The 25,526-nt window shown below is 39.1% G+C and overlaps 1 protein-coding gene across 26 annotated transcripts in view, besides 1 other annotated feature; it reads right to left on the bottom strand.

Annotated features, from left to right (window-relative positions):
* The window catches only part of AUTS2 (activator of transcription and developmental regulator AUTS2), a 1,195,032-nt gene that overhangs the window by 595,891 nt on the left and 573,615 nt on the right, over positions 1-25,526 (bottom strand). The gene's annotated exons all lie outside the window — the stretch shown is intronic.
* Positions 13,573-16,228: an enhancer, noted in NCBI's record as "VISTA enhancer hs2316". NCBI's record gives its function as "enhancer in: eye[3/5]" and the evidence as "EXISTENCE:transgenic organism evidence [ECO:0001131][PMID:17130149]".

The raw sequence follows: 25,526 nt of genomic DNA, 5'->3' as shown, positions 1-25,526 counted from the left end.
TCGGGTGGGAGTGACCCGATTTTCCAGGTGCGTCCGTCACCCCTTTCTTTGACTCGGAAAGGGAACTCCCTGACCCCTTGCGCTTCCCAGGTGAGGCAATGCCTCGCCCTGCTTCGGCTCGCGCACGGTGCGCACACACACTGGCCTGCGCCCACTGTCTGGCACTCCCTAGTGAGATGAACCCGGTACCTCAGATGGAAATGCAGAAATCACCCGTCTTCTGCGTCGCTCACGCTGGGAGCTGTAGACCGGAGCTGTTCCTATTCGGCCATCTTGGCTCCTCCTCCATCCGTAAACTTCTTTCCAGTGTCTTTAGAAGTACAAAATGGGTGTGTGTGTGTGTGTGTGTGTGTGGACTAAGAATTTTGGCAACTATTTAGTCTAGTTCCCTCATTTTACTGAGAAAATTGATGTTCAAAGTAGAGGCTTAGTTGTTGTTCAAGAGCCAACAGCTACAAGGTGGCAGATACAGAAATGAGCACAATTTCTGACTCCAAAAAGTAGGGCCTTTTACCACATGTCGCAAATGTATATAAGAGAATGTATATGTATACACACAAACACAAAGTGCCTGAATAGCTAAATGTGTGGCACAAAGAAAAGTTATTAATAAACAGTAGTAATGCTATTTCTCTTTCTTCTTCATATTTAGCCAAACTATCATTACATACACTAAGTGTAAAGAAGACAACCGCTCAAAACCTTTTTCTTAAGAGAGAACAACAATTATCTGAACCTTGAACTTGCTATAGATATACCTTTTCTTACTTCACAAGTTCTACAGGCAACTGACCATTAATAGTACCAAAACTAGTGAGCCTACCCTCAACCAGTGTCCACAATGTGCACAAAAGTTTGCCTATCAGTAAATCTCAGTGGGAAAAGTCAGTCTAGTTCACACTGTTCGTGAATTTCAGCTTATCCTTTGAAATGAAAATATCCAGGAATAATGTTTTATTTAAGAACCTAATTTCATACACATCAGTGCATTAAAACATGTCCCTATAGATGCTGCCATTACTGATCAAATCTGAGTTATTTTTATTCAGTTGCTGCAACCATATATCCAGACGCCTAGAGAAGAACATGGCATGAGGGGGTTCCAAGTGACATGCTCTGAATCCTTCCTGTGCCAGACAAAATTTAATTATCTCCATTGTTTGTGTTATTCAAAATATATTCACAGTCCATCTACTCAGCAAGAAATTCCCTTCTATTTTATTCGGTATAGCTTTTATGCTAAAAGAAGGGAGGGAAAGCTGTAGCTCCCTCACCCATTCCCCACAAGGAGATATGAGGCTGCTGAAGCCCAGTTGATTTCCCAAGCCCAATTATTTCATTGTGTACTATCCTCTTCAACAGCACACTTTACCCAGGGACACAGTCTGCCTAAACACCACACACTTAATGGAGTCCCAAAGCTGTCTCAATTTCATTGCTTCTAACTAATAGGCTGTGATACTTTTTCCCCAAACAGATCAGACCTCTTCTCTCACTCCACAATTTCCTCCTACAGGATAAAAAGGGGAGGGGGGAGCTACTCTGATGAAAGAGACAAAGTATAAATTCCTGCTGCCATACCTTCATTACTGCCCAATACCTGCCTTTCTTATGGGCACAGCAACATCATTTAATCCAGTATAGGAGCTTCTTTTCTCCAGATAATGACAATAATAGGTGTTTCGTTATTACTCTGAGTAGTAACATGGAAGAGCAGGAATCTACACATTTTGTAGTAGTTAACAGGCAGACGAATCAAGGTTTCCTTTCCTTGAAAGAATTCCGAAATTGATTGCCCAGAGAGTATTTTAGGATTGAGAGAGAAAGGAAGGAAGCGATAGGAAAATGATGATTTCTTTAAACTCTTAAGTCTTTGGAATATGTTGCTACCAAAGATAAATGTCTCCCATTGTCTTCTACTATTCAGAGCAGATTTAGAATTCTTTTGGTTTTGTTTTGTTCTTTGAGACAGAATTTCACTGTGTCGTGCAGGCTGGAGTGCAGCGGCACAATCTCGGGTCACTGCAACCTCTGCCTCCCAAGTTCAAGCGATTTTTGTGCCTCAGCTTCCCAAGTAGCCGGGACTACTGATACACAGCACAGTGCCCGACTAATTTTCTTTTGTATTTTTAGTAGAGACAGGGTTTCACCATGTTGGCCAGGCTGGTCTTGAACTCCTGACCTCAAGGGATATGCCCACCTCAGCCTCCCAAAGTGCTGGGATTACAGGCGTGAGCCACCGTGCCTGTCCAGATTCAGTATTCATATTAACAGCTCACTCCCTATTCTGATTTGGGTTTATATCTTGGAAAAGAATATGATTTCCAGGGGTAGGTGTCATATCAAAGGCACAACTTTACCTTCCTACAGACAGACATAATTTGTGACAGATCTTTTTCTTAATCCTTAGCACTTATGTTAATAGTTGTGTCTTACTGAAGCTTTCCTATTCAATAATTTAAGCATATTGAGGAAGGACCGTCAGGAAAAGAGACTTCTTGTTTTTCAAAACTGATTTCTTAAAAATATTATGTATATTTTAAGATGGCGTTTCTGCCATCTTCCAGAGCCATATCCAAGTGGAGATTTCAAGAAAAGGTAGAAATATTGAGAAAGCCAGGCCCAAAGACATGCTGAAGAAATATTATAGGTACTTCTGAAATGTGATGCCTCCCTGTCCCCCAGGGACAATTTCTGTGCTGTCTGAGATAACACCTCTTATATAATGTGGGAAAGAATCAAAGCAGTTAATCCAAATAGTTCCCAAACCCTGCTAGAACTCACCAGCTCTCTTCTTAAGGCAAGACACAACAGTAACATTTAATTACATTTGACATTTAGCTTCAGATTCCATAAGTCATCCTAAATTATCTTTTGGGTCAAAACAGATGTAAATTCACCCACTGAAGACAGTTATTATTATCTTCAAAGTTAAAACCCCTGACTGCTTGGGATGGGAGAGATAGCAAACACGTAATAAGCTCTAAAAAGCATCATCACTGTCCTTCAAGGAAACATGGCTCTACTCCTTCATCTTCACCCTTGCCTAGAATTAATGTGACCACTCTAACTCTGGCCAATACTCCTGGACAAGCATGTAAGTTATGGTTAGTCCAGAAAGTATCTAAACTGGATTGTAGAAAAGAAAGACAATGGAGGTAGTCCTCTGGTCAAACTTTTTTTATTTTTTATTTATTTATTTATTTTTGAGACAGGGTCTCGCTCTGTCGCCCAGGTTAGAGTGCAGTGCCACTCTCGGTTCACTGCCACCTCTGCCTCCCAGGTTCAAGTGATTCTCTTGCCTCAGCCTCCTGAGTAGCTGGAATTACAGGTGTCTGTCACCACATCCAGCTAATTTTTGTATTTTTAGTAGAGACAGGGTTTCACCATGTTGGCCAGGCTGGTCTCAAATGCCTGACCTAAAGAGATCTACCCATCTTGACCTCCCAAAGTGCTGGGATTACAGGCGTGAGCCACCGCACCCAACCCTGGCCAAACGTTATGCTTACATTTGCCCAGTTATAAACTAACACGCAGCACTTTCCAGATCCAAGAGATGGTCTCCTTTATCATCTTTTCATGGCACAATCACAGATTTTGGTAAATCAGGAATAAAAGAGAAGAAAGTGCTTTGAATATTAAATATAGATATGAAGAAGCCTAGAACTAACTGAATTCATTATGCTAAATTCATTATTCATTGAGAAGGGAGAAATCATAAGAATATACAGGAAAATAATAAAAGATTATTAAAGTAAATTCTAGATTAGGTCTGAGATTTAAATAACACTGACAGTAGGTTACACGAATCACTGCACTTTCTTCCCCAGAGGCAAACCTATCTGAAACAGTCAGGAGCTGGCGCAGGTCTGCTTTATCATGTTAGAAAATTATGTTGGATGAGTTAAATCTGAACAGTGCCCTCTACAGGGATTAACATTTCTTTACAATCTTTTTCCTATTGCTGGACATCTTTGTCTTGTTGCTGCAAAAATCATCATCCTTGTAAAAGGCTCTTCATTTAGGCGCTGAAATCAGACGAGGTGTCCTTAAACATCTGCCACATTGCTCATGAGCTATGTAACTTTAGGTGAGTTACTTTACTTTACGTCTCTAAACCTCAAGATTTCTACCCGTAAAATGAGGATACTATGTAGAAGGCAGGGGTCTCTTTTAATGCAAAATAGCATGTGCTTGGCACAGAGCAAGATCTTACTCAGTTTTAGCTTCTAGCAGTATTCCTGTTTTAAGATACAAATCTATTTGCATTTTTACTTCATTGACTTATAATAATTTCCCATTAGTGTCTTCAAAAGCCGTTTCTTTTCCCTCATTAAGCCTGATAAGGTACAAATGCATACGTTTAGATAATGCCACTACCAAGAAAGGCTCAGAGTTGTGTAGGTTTTTGGCCTTGTCAAGGTAGGTTGCCATCAGAGTTCAAGGACCACAGAAATAGTACAACAGAACCTCTAGACACAGCCATACTTGGTCCAGATGGAAGACAAAGGTAGTGGAATGCCATCTATGATTACAATTATGAACTAAAAGAATCCCACTGGTTGATTACATTTTTACCATGTGGTTTTCTTCTCTTCTCTCTTCGCACATACTGGCTTTCTCTGATTGACTATAACTAGTATCTACCTAATGGTTGTTTTTCTAGGGTTCTAGTCATGCTTGCTTTTTGCCAGAACTCACACAGAAGTAAGATACAACAAATGCAAGGAGGCTCCCTTTATCATTTTGACTCCCCCCGTCCATGTCATTTGCTCCTTAAATGAGCATTCCATCTGCCCAAATTCCATTCGAAGCATCAGCAGTCTCAGTGGAGGTGGTTTCTTCAGAGTTCCTTTATGCCATGTCTTTAGCTTTCAGATCATTGCAATGTGATGTGTTCAGACTAATAAGGATTAACCCCTGTCTTCCACTGATAACTGAGAAAGTGAGAGTTTACACAGGCTAAGGTGACCAGCACTGTAGCCTCGGACAGTCTCACATTCTTCTCTGCAAGCATGATGGACTGTGTGGCAGTTCTTAACCTACTTACTTATTTCATGCTCTGGCCCCCTCTCAGCTTCTCATTTTAAGTTGTGTTAAGTTGGTAGTGCTTTGCAATTAGCAAACTACTTACTATTAAATACAGACTTGTTTGCTCCACATATCAGAAGTGACTTAAAAGGAAAACCGTAAAACTTTCGTTTCATTTGGCAAATTTAAAGCAACAAACTCAAAATCAATATTGTATTTGTCAGAATTAGAGGGCCCACACTAAATTCATGAATTTCCTAGAAAGTTTTATAAGAAACAGGGATTTTTTTCCCCCTGTGGTGGCAAAAGTACAATCAATAAATAAAAGAGACTGTCTTTCTAAGGGAAGGAAAGGAAGGTACACAACATTTTTAGCACCTACTATAAATTCTGTGATAGGGTACTTTCACCATTATTCCAGTGAATCTTCTCAAGATCACATTGAAGAAGGTATTACTGGTCCCATTTTTATAGTGAGAGTAACTGAGATTCAATCAAGTTAAGTGATTTGCCTAAAACTACAGAGGTAAAACAAGGAGTTAGGTTTCAAAATCCAGGCATTTAAACCAAGTGACTACTTTTCTCTTTTCTTTTTTTTTTTCTTTCTCCCCTGCCTCAGCCTCCTGAATAGCTGGGATTATAGGCACCCACCACCACGCCTAGCTAATTTTTTTTTTTGTATTTTTAGTAGAGACAGGATTTTACCATGTTAGCCAGGCTGGTTTTAAACTCCTAACCCCAAGTGATCCACCCACCTCGGCCTCCCAAAGTGCTAGGATTACAGTTGTGAGCCACCGGGCCTGGCCTTTTTTGTCTTTTCTTATACAAAACTATTGTCCATGTAAAATCAGAGCAATTAAAATGGTTACAAACAATCTGTTGCATTTATTCACATGGGGACAAGAACATATCGTAGCATAAAAATTTGAACAAATCTGTTAATCATCTTCTGACTGTATTATGAATTTCAAACCTGATAAAGCAAGTCACTTTATGCAGTACGCACATTCCTGCAATGCATGACTATGAAATAAGACATGAAAGTTGATAATTTGATGTATAAACAAAAATTTGGTCTTGTATTACCAGTTTTCCCATCATTAAGAAATAAGTGGGCTGGGTGTGGTGGCTCACGCCTATAATCCCAGCACTTTGGGAGGCCAAGGTGGGAGGATCATGAGGTCAGGAGACCGAGACCATCCTGGCTAATATGGTTAAACCCCGTCTCTACTAAAAATACAAAAACAAAATTAGCCAGGCATGGTGGCGAGCACCTGTAGTCCCAGCTACTAGGGAGGCTGAGGTGGGAGAATGGTGTAAACCCGGGAGGCAGAGCTTGCAGTGAGCCGAGATTGCGCCACTGCACTCCAGCCTGGGCAACAGAGGAGACTCTGTCTCAAAAAAAAAAAAAAAAAAAAAAAAAGAAATAAGTGGATGACATTTGAAAGCATCATATGTAAGCTGTCATTGTGCTATCAAAGAGCACAATATCTGAAATTGAATTTAGTAAGGCTTCAATAATATTTACTTAAATCAAATGCTTGAGGAATGCTCTGTGTTGATGCTTCTGAAAGCAGCAGACTGTCTTATCTCAGGGTCTATTACCTACAGTATTTTTACAGTAAGATACTGTTAAAATTTCTACTAGAATTTTACATTATTTTAACAGAAAATGTGATAGATTTAACAAAGTGTATTTAAATGGTTAATGATACTGGAATGAAAATGCTATGGTTAAAATACCCACTTCCTTCATTCTGAAAAAAAATTATAAGCAATGAGATTATACAATAGTGTACGCTGCAAATCCTCTAGGAAACTCCTATTACTTTATAAGCATAAAAAAAAGTCTACGTTGGGTTAAACAGAATTGAAACATCAGTAAAATGAAGAGTAATGCAATTGGCAACCTGAGGCTCCACCAGATGCCCATTTCTATAGTAATCAACTCCAAAGAGACCTAGGGAACCATCACCTTACCCGAATGCACTGTCTAATGATAGTTAATCCTGTTACTCAAAGAGGATAACTAGAACTCAGCTCAACCCAGCCTGTGAGGTGAGCATCCCCCACTGTCAGAATTTGCTTCAACGAAAATGCGGCAGTGAGGAAATTTGTGAAATGATAGCTGAGTAAGCAATAGACAATTAAGGAATTTAAAACAGCTGCTAGGAGATGAGATGAGCCAACTGGCAGGAAAAAGACAGTTTTATACTAATTATCATATTTGAAAGAAAACAAGAGTACCCCCTTTAGTCCTTAATATACACTATTTCTTTTTCCGTTCAAACATCTATCTTGGCAAAATAAAATCTATGAGGCATTACCTAGCACAGGTTTTAATTTGATTAAATACCAAGCAACACTTACTGCTGTATCCTTGGCTAAAGCTAAGGTATGGGAAGAAAATGCAAAGGGAAATCATGGCAGAAAAAGGATGCCAAGCTAGAAGGGCAATATTTCTTCTTATTGTGATCTTTATTTGGAACATAACATTTTGTTCTGTATTCTCTTGTTCTCAGAAGCAATCTAAATATGACTATGTAAACATTCTGAAGGATACTAAGCACACATCATGGACCATTCCAGCTACTATTCATCCTTAACATGCTCAACCTCAAACCACAATCAGTACCGGATCAAGGCCAAACGAGCCCTTCAAGGCCAAATAAGCCTTTCCTACTAACACACACTGCACTATAGAAGATGGCTTCACTAGATGGGTAACAAGTGGCTAACGATAGTCAATGTAGCTGGAAATGGGGGTGAGAATCAGCACCTTCAAAAAATGAAGCTCATCGTGCAGTCAAAATTTATTCTCTTTCTTTCAGCATCAAAGAAATCAATAAAAGGAGCTTTGAGGATGCTCAAGAGAGAGAAACTGAACAACTGTTAAGTGCCAGGCACCTTACATATATTCTCATTGTCTCACAGCTCCACTTAAACACACATTTTACAGACAAAGAAACTGAGACTTAGGCAGGCAATACTTTGTATCTTTCACAGGGCTACACTGATTGTCCTCCAAGTGGTCACCTGGGCATTAATCTAGCACCAAGCTTTACGTAACACACCATATTCCACCAAAATGACTGTTGCTTACTCATGAAATATGTATTTGGCTGTCTTCCTCAGTAACAAGTTGTCATGGAATTACTTTTACTTTAATCCTACACAAGAATCCTTCCCTTCTAAGGAAATCAGCAATCAAACTATTGCCTGGCCAAGATTCAATGCCACAGTAGGGAGTTGGGCTTATCCACAGTAAAAAAAACTACAGTCCTTGCTGTCCTCCTCTGGTGTTTCCTATCTTCTTTCTCCAATTCCATATTTATCAAGTCTTGGCCATAAATGTCACTCCTCAGATCTTGATTTACATCATTTTGCTTCATTATCATCTGCTTGTAATTGGTTGGTCATTTACAGGCACACTCTCCTGAGAAATGAGGATGAGCCTACGCAGTCAGCTCTCCTCTTGCAATGCTGACATCATTTTTGGAACACATAAATTGATGGTCTTTCTTTTCACCAGGTTATCACTAGTGCTGGGCAATTCTGGCTGTTCTTGGCGTAATTCCTATATTTGCTAGAATACTCTGGCTTACTCAAAATTTCCTATTGGTACCTTTCCATTCCCGAAGACAAATATATATCTAGACTTCCAGACATATAAATAATTAATAAAGAAAAAAAGATGCAGCCGGTTGCGGTGGCTCACACCTGCAATCTCAGCACTTTGGGAGGCCACTGCACTCCAGCCTGGGCGACAGAGCGCAACTCCGTCTCAAAAAAAAAAAAAAGAAAGAAAGAAAGAAAAGAAAACAAGATGCCCATTTATGTCCACTAGCTAGCAAATGGTGGAATTCCTTAACAGCAGGACACATCACTTATATTTAGATGATGGTAAGAGTGACTCTCGTACAAAGTTCTCAAGAAAGCTAGAAAGGATGCAGGATTCTGCCCTCATCATTCTCCAAAATCGTGATATATTCACCAAACACAACAGTTCTTTTTTTCAAGCTTCTACCTAACGGGCTGCTGATTTCAGATGGGCTCATGGATGATCCAATGGATTTCCACTTCCACTGACTAAAGACCATCCCTCCATTTGTTCCTCTGCATATGTTGTCCAGAATCTCTTCCTACAATTATTCACACACGAGAGAAAATCTCACTCACTTTTAGCCATTCTCCCTAATCTCAGACCACTTTTAACCTCTGTAGCCTCCTAGCCCTTCCTAGCTACCTGCCTCTTCCTCCTCAAAGATCCGCCCCTGTAGAAGAACTTGGCCTTTCAAGCCCGGATCTTACTCAAGGAACAGCTGTGGAATGATAAAACCCTATCCTCAATAAAACAAAAGTGTGTATGTTTCATTATTTGGGAGGTACCACCCCAATTAACAAACATCCCTTTCCAAACAAAGCATTTAGCAAGTGCTTTTGGCACATCAAAGGCACTCAATAATTGTCAGTGTATTATGACTATGAATGAATGTGATGGGACAAGGAAGTAAAAGCAAGGTTTATCACCTGTTAATTAACTTTTGGGGTTTTAATATGATTTGTTTATAAAAACCTGAATTTTATCAAGTGAATTATTACATGTTCAAGAATTTAGATGTTTCCCTTTATTAGATAAATGGGTAAGTCATTCTGGCAGAGGCAACGATTGCCCAACAGGGCTGATCTTCATAAATATCACAAAGATGTCTTCCAGCTACCTGGCATAAGCACTAACAACTTCCCTTTCCTGATGTGATTCCAAAAGAAGACTAGTGACTCCGTCTCAAAAAAAAAAAAAAAAAAAAAGAAGACTAGTTGAGTATGTCTGACAGTCTGTATTCTTCCTTTTATTATGACATGTACTGATTTGTAGATGTCTGAGATTTGCAGTAGAGACCTCTGAAAATTATGCCAAGAAGCCATTAATTTGAATAATAAGTTCACGTGATTATAATGCCAAAAGTAGGAGTAGCCATGACAAATCTTCCCTCATGGAAAACTGAGGCGGAATTACTGCTTTACTGCAGTCTAATTTTTCAGAAGATGGCCTCTTAACTAAAGAGGAAAACACTTGTCCAAATAAATATTTAAGCATAATCTAGTTTATATATATCTGAAAGGCAAGACTTACTGAAAAAAATTCATGTAAATACCCAGAGGCCAGCATGAATGATTTAATAGGTAATTAATAGGTATATATCTTACATATTTACATATATACCTAATTACCTATTTATAAAGTATATAAATATCTATCAATATCTCAGATCAAACAAAAAGTGATCAACATTTCCTTAAACTTATCCTAAACACCACCATAAATATTCTTACAACAAATGTGACCACCACGGTAAGATCAGAAAGTTACAGATGAAATAGAGTGGGAATCTCTTCACTGTTGCCAGTTACATTCTCAAGTTCACTTAATTATAAGAAACTCTTTGGAATGGCTCCCCTACTAATCTACTATCAATCCACTGAACTCATTTCAAGTTGAAATTAGATTTGCAAAGGCAGTGCATAGAAGAGCATGGATTACAGAGCCAGAATACCTCAGTTTGAATCCTGCTTCTACTACTTATTAGCTACCTAACTTTGGGCAAGTTTCTTTAACCTCTGCTGCCTCAGTTTCCTTATCTAAAAAATAGGGATAAACAAAGTACCCATCTTATAAAATTGCTATAAGTGCTAAATAATTAAAATTACACATATTGGCTGGGCACGGTGGCTCATGCCTATAATGCCAGCACTTTGGGAGGCTGAGGCAGGTGGATCACCTGAGGTCAGGAGTTCAGGACCAGCCTGGCCAACAGGTGAAACCTCATCTCTACTAAAAATGCAAAAATTAACTGGGACATGGTGGCGGGCGCCTGTAATTCCAGCTACTCAGAAGGCTGAGGCAGGAGAATCCTTCAACCCAGGAGGCGGAGGTTGCAGTGAGCTGACATCACGCCACTGCACTCCAGCCCGGGTGACAGAGTGAGACTCCATCTCAAAAAATTAAATTAAATTCCACATATTTAATGTAGTATGTTAGATATTAGTATCACTATTACCATAATCTGTCTTTGCAATTATCTGAACAACTTATCTTTTGGTTCAGGAATGGCAGTAAGCAACAAACATTAAAAAAAGCCAAAAATATAACCACCATCAAAACTCCAATCACACACAAACGCTCTAACGTGAGTAAAATGATGTTATCTTAAGCTGAAAAGAGACTTTATCAAATCCTCCCAAAGTTTCTTTTTTATACCCATAAACATCATCAGCCAATGAAAACTGCCTCCTGTGTGGCTTCTAAGGGAAACCTGCAAGAAACACATTCCTGTAAGCCAGTTTGTGTCAAGTTTTTCTTGTTTTAAAACACAAAGACAACTTCTTCAGGATTTTTACATATCATCCCGAAGTTCCCCTAAAATGTAATCCCATTATATATAGCTACATGAATAACATACTTCAAGCATAAGATTCAAGGCAAAAAGAAATTACCTTTTGACACCATGAATGTCAAAATATCATTCTGATTGGTAAGCTCCAGGCCACACTAAAATATATCCTGCAATTATCTCTTTCAAAATGGACCATATTTCTTTTGAAAATCTTCATTTCCCAAAACAGATCTATTTGTTTTTTATGTAAAATTTCAATAGTTTATACAACACTTTTTCCTCAATAAATGCTAAATCTAGATCCCTCAATCTCACGCCTTTCCTGAGTTGGCAGGCAGGGCACGTAGGCCCCACTGATGACACTAGTGACAACATATTCCAAGAATGATGTGAGGCTTCTCAAGTCACATATACACCAACTCCTATTGCTCTTTGATTCTACACATGTAAAGACATGAAGGTCCAAACTACATAGGCTTGAGTCTAGGTTATTAATGCTTCTGAAAAGCTTATCATAATATGATCTCCAAAAGTAGAATGAAAAGAAATGGCTTCATGACTGACTGATTTTCGATCCTAAATAGCATAAAACGTGACCACATATTAGCTCTTCTTTCTTCACAAGCCACAATTAAATAAATGTATTCAACCTTTAGATGAATATGATGCATGTCCTCCTGCAATCACAAATAATAAGACAAGTGGCCTCACAAACTGGGAAAGGCCTCAGAGAGGCATTTATCCCATTCTTAGTTACTGTCAGAAAAAACAGTTGAATGTTGGGGCCAGGTGCGGTGGCTCACAACTGTAATCCCAGCACTTTGGGAGGCCAAGGTAGGAGGATCACTTGAGGCCAGAGGTTGAAGACCACTAGCGAGCGCAACATAGGAAGATCCTCGTTTCTTAAAAAAAAAAAAAAAAAAAAAAAAAAAGTTTAATGTCATTTAGGCCCAAAGCAACACCACTGGTTTTGACAGTTCAAATTACTTGCTATCCCCAATGGATAAGAGAGATGCCAAGGGTGTTGCAAATAAGTTCCCACAGTGCTCTAGTGAATATTAGTTCATGAAGGACCTACTATGTGCCACCCTTTGCTGAGCAATGGAGATACAAAAATAAATAAAACATTACTTCAAGAAGTTTAAAATCAAATGCAGATATGCATAAATAACTATATTGCAAAGTATCAAACAGTATTTCAAAAGCTTCTAATAGTCATATTTGGTGCATTTTCATATATGAATTATAATTAGCATGAATAGTTATGCTGTAAGTACAGATTAAGCCAAAATATAGCCTTCGAAGAAAGGAAAAATTGAAAAATATCTGTATCTAGCTCAACCACAAAAAAGAAATTTTGTATTATAAATAAAGAACCTTCCCAGGGCATAGTTTCCTCAGGGACACACTCCTAACTTCCAAAAGACAAAGAAGGCTGGCGTCTCTTGTCTGTAACCACTAGATCAATAAGAAGGAATTTCTTATTTGGTTTGAGACATCCTTTGGACCCAAAAAAGAGAGAGCTGAAGAAGCCTAAAAATTTCAATTATAGTCAAAACCCTGTGTAGTCTAAAAGAAGATAGTTACATGTTAAGATCTCATTTCATTTATTCATTCATACATCCAAAAAATATATATACTGACCATAATCGAGTTGTCAGGTCTTGTTCTAAAAACAAGGATTACAAGCAAGAACATAACCAAGTAGTCATGTTCTTGCATTCTAGTGAAAGAGGCATATAATAAACAAAAATTTAGCCAGAAGGCAAAAGATGTGGCACCCCATTTCCAGAGAAGGTGGAGGGTCAGAAGAAGAAATTCTTGTTCTTGGAGGATGAAACTCCCAGGAAACTTTACCCAGCATAGGCTCTGCTTCCCAACAATGGCATTTGCTCTTCTCTGTGGCTTTCTACACTCTGTGGCTACTCATCTTTTTAGAGTTATATAACCAACTGGTTTTCTTTTTGAGGTCAGGCACCATAATTATACTTATTTTAATACGTTCTCCAGCAAAAAGATGACTGTCAATAACAAGTTGTTGATTTAAGAGCTAACAAATTTCCAGCATGCCCAAGGAACAGAAGAAAACAAAATCCTGAGGTACTAACTCTTGGGCCTCTTTTTAAAGAAAATCCGACTTACCTAAATTTTCCTCTATGACCTGCCTTCACTGGCCAAACTACAATAGATACCTCCCCATCAATAAATCTGCTGAATTATATGTTCTATTAAACTTCCTTCTTTACATTCAATTCTTTCAGCTGTAATAAAATGGTGCAACTAAATTACAGGCATGCTTGTGAAGCTTTCTCTGGGTAACAGAAAGACAGAAGGGGCAACAAAAAAAAAAAAAAAAGAAAAAGACAGAAAAAGGACAATTTTACCTCCTAAATCTCTTTGCCTAAGACAACCTCTGTTTCTAACCTCCTCCAGGGGGCTATTTAGAGTGAAATGGCCCAGTCCAGGGGTGCTATTTTCAGTTATTAAAGAAGCCAGTGGAGCTTCTGGCTCTGAGCAGCACTTGACCCAAAGGGTGATGGGCAGAAGGAAGAGGAAAGGGAATTAACCAGCTCCCCGTGGTTAGCGTCTGCACACAGCAGGGCTGATAGCCCTGTCCCTCTCAGCATGGCTCCCAAAGAACAGCTCTTTGATTGCACAAGTTACTGCCGTCCAGGGCTGAGCTGCAGAGAAGGACTAAGGGCCAAAACCATGAGGGGAGGGGGCAGGCAAGAGAAGTCCAGGATAAGAAATGCAATAATTAACACATTTGTCACCTGGCGGTGTAGAGCCATAAAATAGCGATGATAAAATAGTGGCAATGCTAGCGTAATTACCCTCTCCCAACCAACTGCCAAAGGTCTGGTGATTAATCAAAGTCTCTCTAGGCATTTCTCTAAACAAGCCCAGCCTCCAATCCCAGTGTAAAATCCACATGCCAGCTTCCAGGAGTGAGAAACAGGCAGTTAGTTGACTTGAGGATTTTTTTTTCTCATCTGAAGAAACATGAATAAATTGCACATCATCAAGTTTATCATTTTTCTCCTCAGAGAAATATGAAATATTATAGATCATCTCCAGTACATCAGCTTCTTCGCACTCCATTAGCATGAAGGGACTATTTTTGATATAATTTATCAAACCACTGGCCTCATTTCTCCCATTTTCCTTCAAAATGGAAACGCGGACACAGTGGACTCGGGCTTCCCCTTATTCACATGCAGCCACATCTGCCTTCTACCCTGGGGACTGGAGATAAGTAGAAGGGCATGATAGGTGACAGGCCATCAACGTGTATTGCCACCCAAAAGGCAGAAAGGAGGTGACCAAGAGATGAGAATGGAAGCTGGTTTAAGTATGCTTTAGTTCAATCCTACTAAGGTGAGAATATGGTCTTTTTTTTTTTTTTATGAAGAATCTGTCTCTCTTACTAAAGCCAGTTTTCTTCTCAACCTATCCCACTTTGATGTGGTAAGGATCCCGCTTAGAATGGTTGCTCGGTTAGTAAGCTACAAGCACTTATTGAGAGTCAGAAACATTTGAAAAGCAACAGAAAACTAAAACATTCACTCTATTTCTACTCCCTCCTCCCATTAGGACCATTAAAGAGTTTTAACAGCAAAGCTGAGAACCAAATGATCCATTCAGTTCGATTTGATTATAAATTATTATTTTAATTAATGAGGTCCTACTATGTTGGAGGCAATTACCATATGGTTCCTGCTCCTAGTCAGCTAAACAAATGCATATCCCACTATCTGCAATAAACACTTAGACGAAGGGTATAAGAGGAATAATAAACTATTTCATTTGGATCTTGAAAACTGAGTAAAGCCTCAACATCCTGGATAAAGTTCAAAACAGGCAAGATAGCTAAGGGTAAAGAAATATCACTGAGAGGCATGAAAGGGAAATGACACTGGCATCTGAAAGGTGTATGGGTGAGATGTAAACAGGAGAAAAGGTTAAGCTAGGATGGTTCTTGAATGGCAAGCTGAGGAGTATCAACTTTATCACATAAGCAACAGGGAGACTTTGAATGTTTTTGACAATAACAGTAATGATTAAAACTATGTTTAAAAAGTTAGCTCAGCTGGGCGTGGTGGCTCACGCCTGTAATCCCAGCACTTTGGGAGGCCGAGATGGGCGGATCATGAGGTCAGGAGATCGATCGAGACCATCCTGGCTAACACGATGAAATACCGTCTCTACTAAAAATACAAAAAAATTAGCCAGGCGTGGTGGCGGGTGCCTGTAATCCCAGCTACTCGGGAGGCTGAGGCAGGAGAATGGCGTGAACCTGGGAGGTGGAGCTTGCAGTGAGCCAAGATCATTCCACTGCACTCCAGCCTGGGTGACAGAGAGAGACTCCATCTCAAAAAAAAAAAAAAAAAAAGTTAGCTCAGCTGGGCTTGGTGGCTCACGCCTGTAATCCCAGCACTTTGGGAGGCCGAGGGGGGCGGATCACCTGAGGTCAGGAGTTCCAGACCAGCTTGGCCAACATGGTGAAACCCCGTCTCTATTAAAAATACAAAAAAATTAGCTGGGTGTGGTGGCGAGTGCCTGCAATCTCAGCTACTCAGGAGGCTGAGGCAGGAGAATCCTTGAACCCAGGAAGCAGAGGTTACAGTGAGCCGAGATGGCGCCACTGCACTCCAGCCTGGGCAACAAGAGCAAAACTCCATCTCAAAAAAAAAAAGAAAAAAAAAAGTTAACTTTAGCAGAACTGTGAAATATGACAAAGGAGGAGTGAAATAAAAATAAGAAGATAGGTGAGAAGACTCCTACAACAGAATTTGCCTGTTTGTCTCTCTAAAGCATATGGCTTCAAGATACGACTTGTTTTAGCAGTCTTGTATCAATCACGCCAAGCACTAATAGGTGCTCAATAAAATATGCTGAAATAATAAATTGACAGAAGTGCAAGGAGATCTGTACAAGCATGTTCACAGAAACATTGTTCGTAATAACAAAAATGAAAACAATCTGAATGCTCATAAATAGAATAAATGGTGGCATAGGCTTAAAATAGAATACTATGCAGTAGTGGAAGAGCAAAACATAGCAACCTGAATTAATCTCACAAGCATCATCTTCCATTTAAAAAGTTAAAAAAGCACATAAAGAATAAGATACAATTTTCCAAAATATAAGCATACTATATATTTGTTGATTTGCATATGTGAAAAATATATAAAGAAATTAGTAACATAAATAGCAAATTCAGAATTGCTTTTCAAGCTGGGTGGTGGGTAAATGGAAGCCTATTATATTACATTTCCTAGCTTTATTTAATAATAAATTTTATAAAATAAAGCAAACACAATAGTCAATAGAGGAATCTTCGGAGCCTAGCCATATTTAAAGAGATTGATGACAAGATAATAACCACTAAAGTAGACTGAGAAAGGGCAGTAAAAAGGGGACATGTTAGACCTGAAAATACAATAGTATGGAAAACGACAGGCTTGTGCAGCTGCAGGGATGGCAGAATGTAGGTTGCAGTTCATGTACCTGAGCCAAACTGGGCAGCAAGACAAGAGGAGCCAAGGAATAGCGAGAGAACCAGAGATGAGGAGGGAGGGACCAAAAGCCCGGCCTAAGAGCAAAGCAAAAGGCATAGGGAGCTAGTGCTAGTGAGAAGGCCAGGTAGACCATGACTGTAATTAAAAACAAATGAGGGAAAGCCTGGATGGAAGACTTCCTTTGCAAAGAATACCGAGAAGACATCTATCATTAACTTCCAACACAAAGCCAACTGTGTGTGTATGTGTTTATTTTATTTTATTCTTTAAAAACTTGAAAGTTGGCATCAAAATTTACTTCCCCTACCTTGAATTCTTAAAAATTGAATTCTGTACTACATTCATCCTTCTTCAAATGATAAAGTATTTTCTTCCATTTTAAGATTGAATTGGGACAGGACAGCTTGGGAAGTAAATCAAAGTGGAATAAAAACACACATCAACCTTTCATATTTTTCTTCTTACAGAAATGCAATATGATAACTTATTTTTTAAAATCTGAAGTTTATTAGGCTGGTATTTATTTTAGTTTCCCTGGAGGATACAATTTTGCCTTAGAAAGACCTGTGGCTGAAAGACTTCCATAATAAACTATTTCTACGCTTACCACATGTACCAGAAGAAGCAAAGAAAGTCTTCTTTGTGCAGCATTTTGCAGAGAAATGAGCCCTACTTTTTTCTGTTAGCAGCATCATTTATTCTGGCATTAGAGCTCCTGTGACCACTACTCAAGCCACAGAGCTACAGCCCATGGGAATTACACAAAAGGCTTATGTTGAACATCCAGCTAGATCTGAAAGAGTCTGAGAGTAGGAGATAAAATACCACCCAGAAATAATCCCCTTCATGTACAACCAAAGCATGAATCCTAGCATTTGCAATGAAGGTTATACCAAGCCTGGTGGCAAGCTAGTAAGGGTGGGCCTCAGAGTCCTATAATTCCCTCTAGATCAGAAAATTTATACTAACCTTAGAGATCAACTTTCACATGAAGGAGCCCCTATCTTGCTAAATGTCTGTCTCCTGTTTTTGGGGAAATCACTCTTTACAAGTTGAGTATATGGGCCCAGTTCACCATTGTTTACCAGAGCTAGAGATCTGCAGAAAACATCTGCCAAATCATCATGTGACAGAAATAATCCAGATGGACACAGAAGTCAGACATGGCTTTGAGAGTCTCTCCAGTCTGCCAAGTTAGCAGGTGACACTGCTGGAGGTTCCCGGGAAAACTATGATGTGCAGGTGCTAAAAATGCATGAAAAGAAAAGCACAATGTAACACCTTCGGATAATCACAGCTGTTTTTGAAGAAATCTCCCCTGCTGTAGGGGTGACCAAAACTCATGCTTCAGGGCCTGAGAAATAAACCACTAAAAACAAAAAGGAAAAGATTTACATTTCTCTGGACTCAAAAGACGTGTCTGTAAGAATGTGAAGGACATGTAGACTAACAAACCCAGGCATTTTCTCCATTTCTCCAGACTTGGCTGGGTACAACCGATCATGAGCCACCCAAGGTTTAGTTCCAATCCTCTCTGAGCCATAAAATGCCACAGGGAGATGGAGAGCTGGTGTGATGCACTTGCATTCCAACTGACTCTGGTAAAACCCGTAGTGCCCAGCTGAGCCAAAGGTGGGGCCAGGGTAAACAGAAGAGAAGGCAAGCCAGGAAAGTGAGACAGTGGGAAGTCCTACCCATAAAAACACAGTCATAAACAACACAAAGACACACTTCCTCATGAGTCACAGTGGGTTGTTAAGAAGCTGCCCACTTGCTGCTGGGCATTCCAAAAGACATCCATAAGACCCTGTCATATAACAATGGAGATTCATTAAGACTCTGTGACTCCATAAGACCTACATTTTTTTTTTTAGACAGTCTCCCTCTGTCGCCCAGGTTGGAGTGAGCAGCACCATCTCAGCTCACTGCAACCTCCATCTACTGGGTTCAAGCGATTCTCATGCCTCAGCCTCCTGAACAGCTGAAACTACAGGCACCTGCCACCACGCCCAGCTAATTTTTGTATTTTTAGTAGAGACGGGGATTCGTCATGTTGGCCAGGCTGGTCTCAAACTCCTGACCTCATGGGATCCACCCGCCTCAGCCTCCCAAAGGGCTGGGATTACAGGCATGAGCCACTGTGCCTGGCCTGTAGGATCTATTAAAAGCCCATTCTGTATCTTTAATAATATATAAGGATGTGAAAACTGGCAACAGGAACAGGAACAAAAACAGCTTTCCATAAAAATCCTTGTTATTTCAACAGAAAGTTATAGATGATGTCAATAATGACTAAGGAAACCAAGAGAACCAACCCTCTGTGTCTTGCAGGTTTAAAGACGTATTTCACTGAAAAAAAAAAGTATTTTTAATTGGTATCCAAGTGGTACTGCCATTCATATTTCTCTTAAAATATTCTCAGGACACTGTACAAGTGGCTAATGGCACCACAGGGACATTCACTCTTCACGGGGCTAAAGGACATCATGTTAGGGGTCCCAAACTCAAAGCAAAATTAATTTCCAGGAATGACAAATAAAAATAAGAACAATGATGAAACCCTGTCTCTACAAAAAATACAAAAATTAGCTGGGTGTGGTGGCACACACCTGTAGCCCCAGCTACTCGGGAGGCTGAGGCAGGAGAATCGCTTGAACCCGGGAGGCAGAGGTTGCAGTGAGCCAAGATCATGCCACTGCACTCCAGCCTGGTGACAGCGCAAGACTCCACCTCAAAAAAAAAAAAAAAACAGAATTATGTTAACGGTAGAAGATGAACCAGTCAACCACAAACCACTAACAGGAAGAAGAACCAGTGTATTAGCAATGATTTGAAAAAAGTCCAAACAATGAGAATGCAGAACAGACAGATTTAATTAAAAATGAAAACACAAATCTTTGTAAGGGGTGGGGTGGTATACAGAAAGCTTAAATCACTTACACATCATAAAAATGACCTTTGTTGGAGGGAATTTTTCCTTTCCTTAACGAAACCCCTAGCCAGAACCTGAATTTAGGTTGTCAAGTTCAAATGTCTGCTCCCTCATTATCACTAGCTGTAAAATATTGGTTATAAGCTTCAGTTTTTCTGAGACTAGATTCCCTATATGTAAAATATGGATAATAATTATAGTAGAAATGTTTCAAAATGAAATAACAGAAATGAAATGATCTAAAACACCATGCAAGACCCAGACAAAAAATAAGTAAATGTGGTTCTCTTCTCCCATAACCACCACGCACACATTCATCTCTGAGGTATCATGGTGTGGTGGTTTTGAGCACAGCTAAGTTCAAATCATGGCTCGGCCAGCTACTAGCTATATGGCGACTCACAGGTTTCTGAATCTAAGCCTCAGGCTCCTCACTAGAAAAATGATGTCAATAACAGTACCTCCTTGAAAGGCTCATTGTGAAGAAGTGAGTTATTACTTGAAACATGCTTAGAACAGTACTTGGCACACAAAGCTCAATAACTGCTTGCTGGCATCAGGATTACTATTATTTATAAAATTTGAAAATTTATTGACAGAGAGATTGCCTCCTTTGAAATTTCAAAAAACTAAGGGCAAAGCACGGGATTTAATCAAGTCTGACCTTCTAATCATGCTATGTCTCCTGTGAAGTTGTCTAGGAAATGATGATATTTTGCATTGATTAGGCAACATGATACTTCTTGTTCTGTAACTTGCTAATATACTTTTTACTTTTATGAAGAATGAGGTACAACACTAAGAAAACAATTCATATAAGAAATTTACTTATTAAAACACAACTTCCAGGGTATGATCTGAGATCAAAGCAGTCCAAATTCCGTTATCTGCTGCTTGATTCAGAGAGAAAAGCACTCCAGTATGATGGGTCCTAGGCTGTGCAAGACAACCCATCACCAGAGAGAGATTCAATTATATTTGGGGACCATTCTAAGGCAGACAGACACTGAACATATTTTAGAAAGATTTTCAGGAATAAGCCTGTTGGAACAAATATATTTTTCAGAATGATCCAAATTTAAATAAACAACACTTCATCTCAATTAACAAAGATTTTACTGCATTGTTTTCTTAACAAAGAAGATTGAGCATTATCAAATGGCATATGTAAGCAAGGAAGGTTAATTATTCCTAATATTCAACTTCATTTACACTAGCACTGCTGAGAAAAACAGTTGACAGTTGTTTGCACAGGCAGAATCATTGCCATTGCACAAAAGAAGAAACCAAATACCAAAAAGTTAAAGACTGTCTCTAGAGTTAAGAGCTTTTGAGTAAAAGTGTAAAGAATGAGGAGTTCAGACATCCTGCTCCTGATTCTGGAGGGCAGACAGTGAGACTTGAAGTAATTATTAAGTGATTGCTTGAATATTTTATTATACTACTACTATTGTATAATTATTATACTAACAATATCTATAGCTTTCTTGTACGTACTATGAATTCCTACATTGAGAATATTCCATCCTTCATTGGAAACTAATAACAAACAATCCTATTCTAGCAGTAACCCTAATGAAACCTCATTATGGTGAAGAGAATACCTGCAAAAATTCATCAGACTATGGGATTCTTCACTCCTGTTGAAGTAATACATGGAATCCAGACAGGTTCCAAACTATATTGAAATCTAAGTGTCTTCCAGGTTATCAGCCTTTATGTGAGATAGTCATACTACTTCTTAATGAAAATACAGGAATACCTAAGACATTGTAGATTTGGTTCCAAACCACCACAATAAAATGAATATTGCAATAAAGCAAGTCCCATGAACTTTTGGTTTCCCAGTGAACACAAAAATTATGTTAAGTTATTAACATAATTGATAGCATTATGTCTAAAACTAATAGACATATTAGGCTATATGTGTATAATAGCATTATGTCTAAAAATTCAATGTAGTTACCTTAATTTTAAAAATGCTTTATTGCTAAAAATATGCTAACAAACACCTGAGTCTGGTGGATGGATTTTTGCAGGTATCCTTTGGCAAGTCATAATCTTTTTGCTGGTGGAGGGTCTTGCATACATGTTGATGGTTGCTGACTGATCAGACTGGTGGTTGCTGAAGGTTGGGTGGCTGTGGCAATTTCTTGCAGTAAGACACCAATGAAGTTTGCTCCATCAACTGACTCTTCCTTTCATGAAAGATTTCTCTGTAGCATGGGAAGCTGTTTGATAGCATATTACCCACATAGAACTTCTTTAAAAAGTGAAGTCAATCCTCAAATACCGCCACTGATTTATCAACTGAGTTTATGGAATATTCTAAATTCTTTGCTGTAGTTTCAACAACATTCACAGCATCTTCACCAGGAGTAGACTCCATCTCAAGAAAACACTTTCTTTGTTCATCCATAAAGAAGCAACTCCTCATCTGTTCAATTTTGGTGATGAGATTGCAGAAATTCAGTAACACCTTCAAGGCCCCAATTCTAATGCTAGTTCTCTTGATATTTCCATGCATCTGCAGCAATTTCCTCTACTGAAGCCTTGAACACCTCAAAGACATCCATTAAGTTTGGAATAAACTTCTTCCAAATTCCTGTTCATGTTGGTATTTTGATTTCCTCCTATATGTCATGAATGTTCTTAATGGCATCTAGAATGGGGAATCCTTTGCTAAAGGTTTCAATTGACTTTGCCCAGATCCATCAGAGGAAATCACTAATTACGGTGGCTAAAGCCTTATGAAATGCATTTCTTAAATAATGAGACTTGAAAGTTGAAATTACTTCTTGATCCATGAATGGTAAAATAAATGTTCTGTCACCAGGCATGAAAACAACATTTATCTCCTTGTACAACTCCATCAGAGCCCTTGGGTGATCATGTACATTATCAATGAATAGTAATACTTTAAAAGGAATCTTTTTTTCCAAGCAGTAGGTCTCAATAGCGGGCTTAAAATATTTAGTAAACCATGTCGTAAACAGATGTGCTGTCATCCCAGCTTTGTTGTTTTATTTCTAGAGCACAGGGCAGATTTGGCATAATTTTTAAGTGCCCTACAATTTTTGGAATGATAAAATAAGCAATGGTTTCAACTTAAAGTCACCAGCTACATTAGCCTCCTACGAAGAGTCAGCCTGTCCTTTGAAGCTAGGCATGGGACTTCTCCTTTCTAGCTTTGAAAGTCATAGGTGGCATCTTCTTCTAATAGAAGGCTGTTTTGTCTACAGTAAAACTCTGTTATTCAACGTGGCCACCTTTATCAATGATCTTAGCTAGATCTTCTGGGTAACATGCCACAGCTACTCCATCAGCACTTGTGTTTCACCCTGCAGTTTTCTGTTCTAGAGATAGTTCCTTTCCTTAAACCTCTTAAACCACACTCTGATAGCTTCCAGCTTTTCTTCTGCAGCTTCCTTGCCTCTCTCACTCTCCACAGAATTGAACAGAGAGCCTTGTATGGATTAGGTTTTGGCTTAAGGGAATGTTGTAACTGGTTTCATCTCCCATCAAGACTCCTAAAATTTCTCCATATCAGCAAAAGGGCTGTTTCACTTTCTTATCACTCATGTGTTCACTGGAGTAGCACCTATTATTTCCTTTAATCACTTTTCCTTTGCATTCACAACTTGGCCAACAGGTGCAAGAGACTTAGCTTTCAGCCCATCTTGGCTTTCAACATGCCTTCCTTACTAAGCTAAATCATTTCTAGAGTTTGATTTATTCAAGTGAGTGACATGAGACTCTTTTTTCACTCAAACACTTAGAGTCCAGTGTAGTGTTATTAACTGACCTAATTTCAATATTGTTGTGTCTCAGGGAATAGGAAGGCCAGGGAAGGAGAGAGAGAGAGAGGAAAGGCAGGTTGGTGAAACAGAACACACACTGTTCTTATATAGCGAGGTTTATGTCACTCCAAAATAACTAAAATAGTAACATCAAAGATCACTGATCACAGATCACCACAACAGTTATAATTATAATAAAAAAGTTTGAAATAGTGCAAGAATTACCAAAATGTCACACAGAGACATGAAGTGAGCATATGCTGTTGGAAAAACGGTGCTGACAGACTTGCTTGATGTAAGGTTTACACAAAACTTTAATTTGTAAAAAATACAGTATCTGCCAAGCACAATAAAGCAATGTATGCTCATATTAGAAAAGAACTTATTGGAAGTACGAATGAATGACATATAAAAGAGAAGTACATGCTACTGTCATGTAAATATGCCAGATGCTGTTTCTGTCCCCCAATTAATGCCAGAAAGGATTCCACAAAATGCGAATGGCTCATTGCAGAGACTGAGATAGAATGCCTTCCGTCAACATTTTCTTTCTCTCTTTCTTTTTTTTTTTTTTTGAGACGGGGTCCCGCTCTGTTGCCCAGGCTGGAGTACAGTGGCACGACCTCGGCTCACTGCAAGCTCCGCCTCCCGGGTTCACGCCATTCTCCTGCCTCAGACTACAGGCACCCACCACCATACCTGGCTAATTTTTTGCATTTTTAGTAGAGACAGGGTTTCACTGTGTTAGCCAGGATGGTCTCGATCTCCTGACCTCGTGATCCACCTACCTCGGCCTCCCAAAGTACTGGGATTACAGGCATGAGCCACTGTGCGAAGTTCCCCAAACTCCCAGTGGTAAGAGACTCTACATTTTAAAAGAATTCAATAGGAAGAAATTGAAACCCCACAGACATTTAGTATACACCCTCACTCTGGCCAGGCCAGTGAATCCTCAACCACTACTACTTACTAGGTATCAAAAAATGTAATCGCATATACTTTGCAGCAAAATCAATCCTTTTAGAATCCTTGAAGGTTTGGAGAAAAGTTTACAAATTGTGATGAATTTCATGGGCCAAATCCTATGAACTGAGAGTCATCAATTATCATTTATTAATCAACTATAATAATGATGTTTCATAATCATTATATTGTAGACATAATAATAATGAAGGCAATGCAATTTGCTCTCAAAAAGCTTTGGCAGGCAATAGCACTGTCTAATAAGGATGCAGCTGGGCAAATAGCTTATGGTGTTGAGAAATATTAAAATAAGCAAAAGTGCATAGGGAAAGAAGGCATTAGATATACATATTTTCAAGTTATTAAAAATTGAAAAAATATAAAGGTGAGATTAATGTTACAGAATCTATCTGCATCTCTAGAAATGAAGGGTTTAGATTATATGAAATATTTTCTACTCTCAAGGATGTACTCTAGCTAGAAAAAGAACCATTGCATAGAATCTGAATGAGTGATGGGCTGAGAAGCATCTGATGAAATCGAAGAAGGAAAATAAAATTTCCCATGAAAGAACGTTCTTTAATTACGAAGAAGGTTGTCTGGGATTACCTTACAGAAACCTTGCAAATCCTCGCTCTTTATACCTGGTAAAATGAGAGCTACCTGGAAAGCTGTATTTCCTGCCTTGCTCTTTCAGGTCCACAGACACAAAAGAACTGAGGATATAGAATCAGCAGCAGCACAAGACATCCTGTAAATGCTGGGGAACAGAGAGATCAGGCCATAGATCCACCACTCCATGGCCATATAGGAAGTTTGCAGCTTTCAATATTGTCAGTGTCGTGCTGGATAAACACAGGGGGGTTAGGAAAAGCAACGACAG

The sequence above is a fragment of the Homo sapiens genome, chromosome 7, assembly GCF_000001405.40.
Source record: "Homo sapiens chromosome 7, GRCh38.p14 Primary Assembly".
Taxonomy (NCBI): Eukaryota; Metazoa; Chordata; class Mammalia; order Primates; family Hominidae; genus Homo; species Homo sapiens.
Note: the sequence above shows the minus strand (reverse complement) of the source record. Positions and strands in the feature narration are given on the sequence as shown.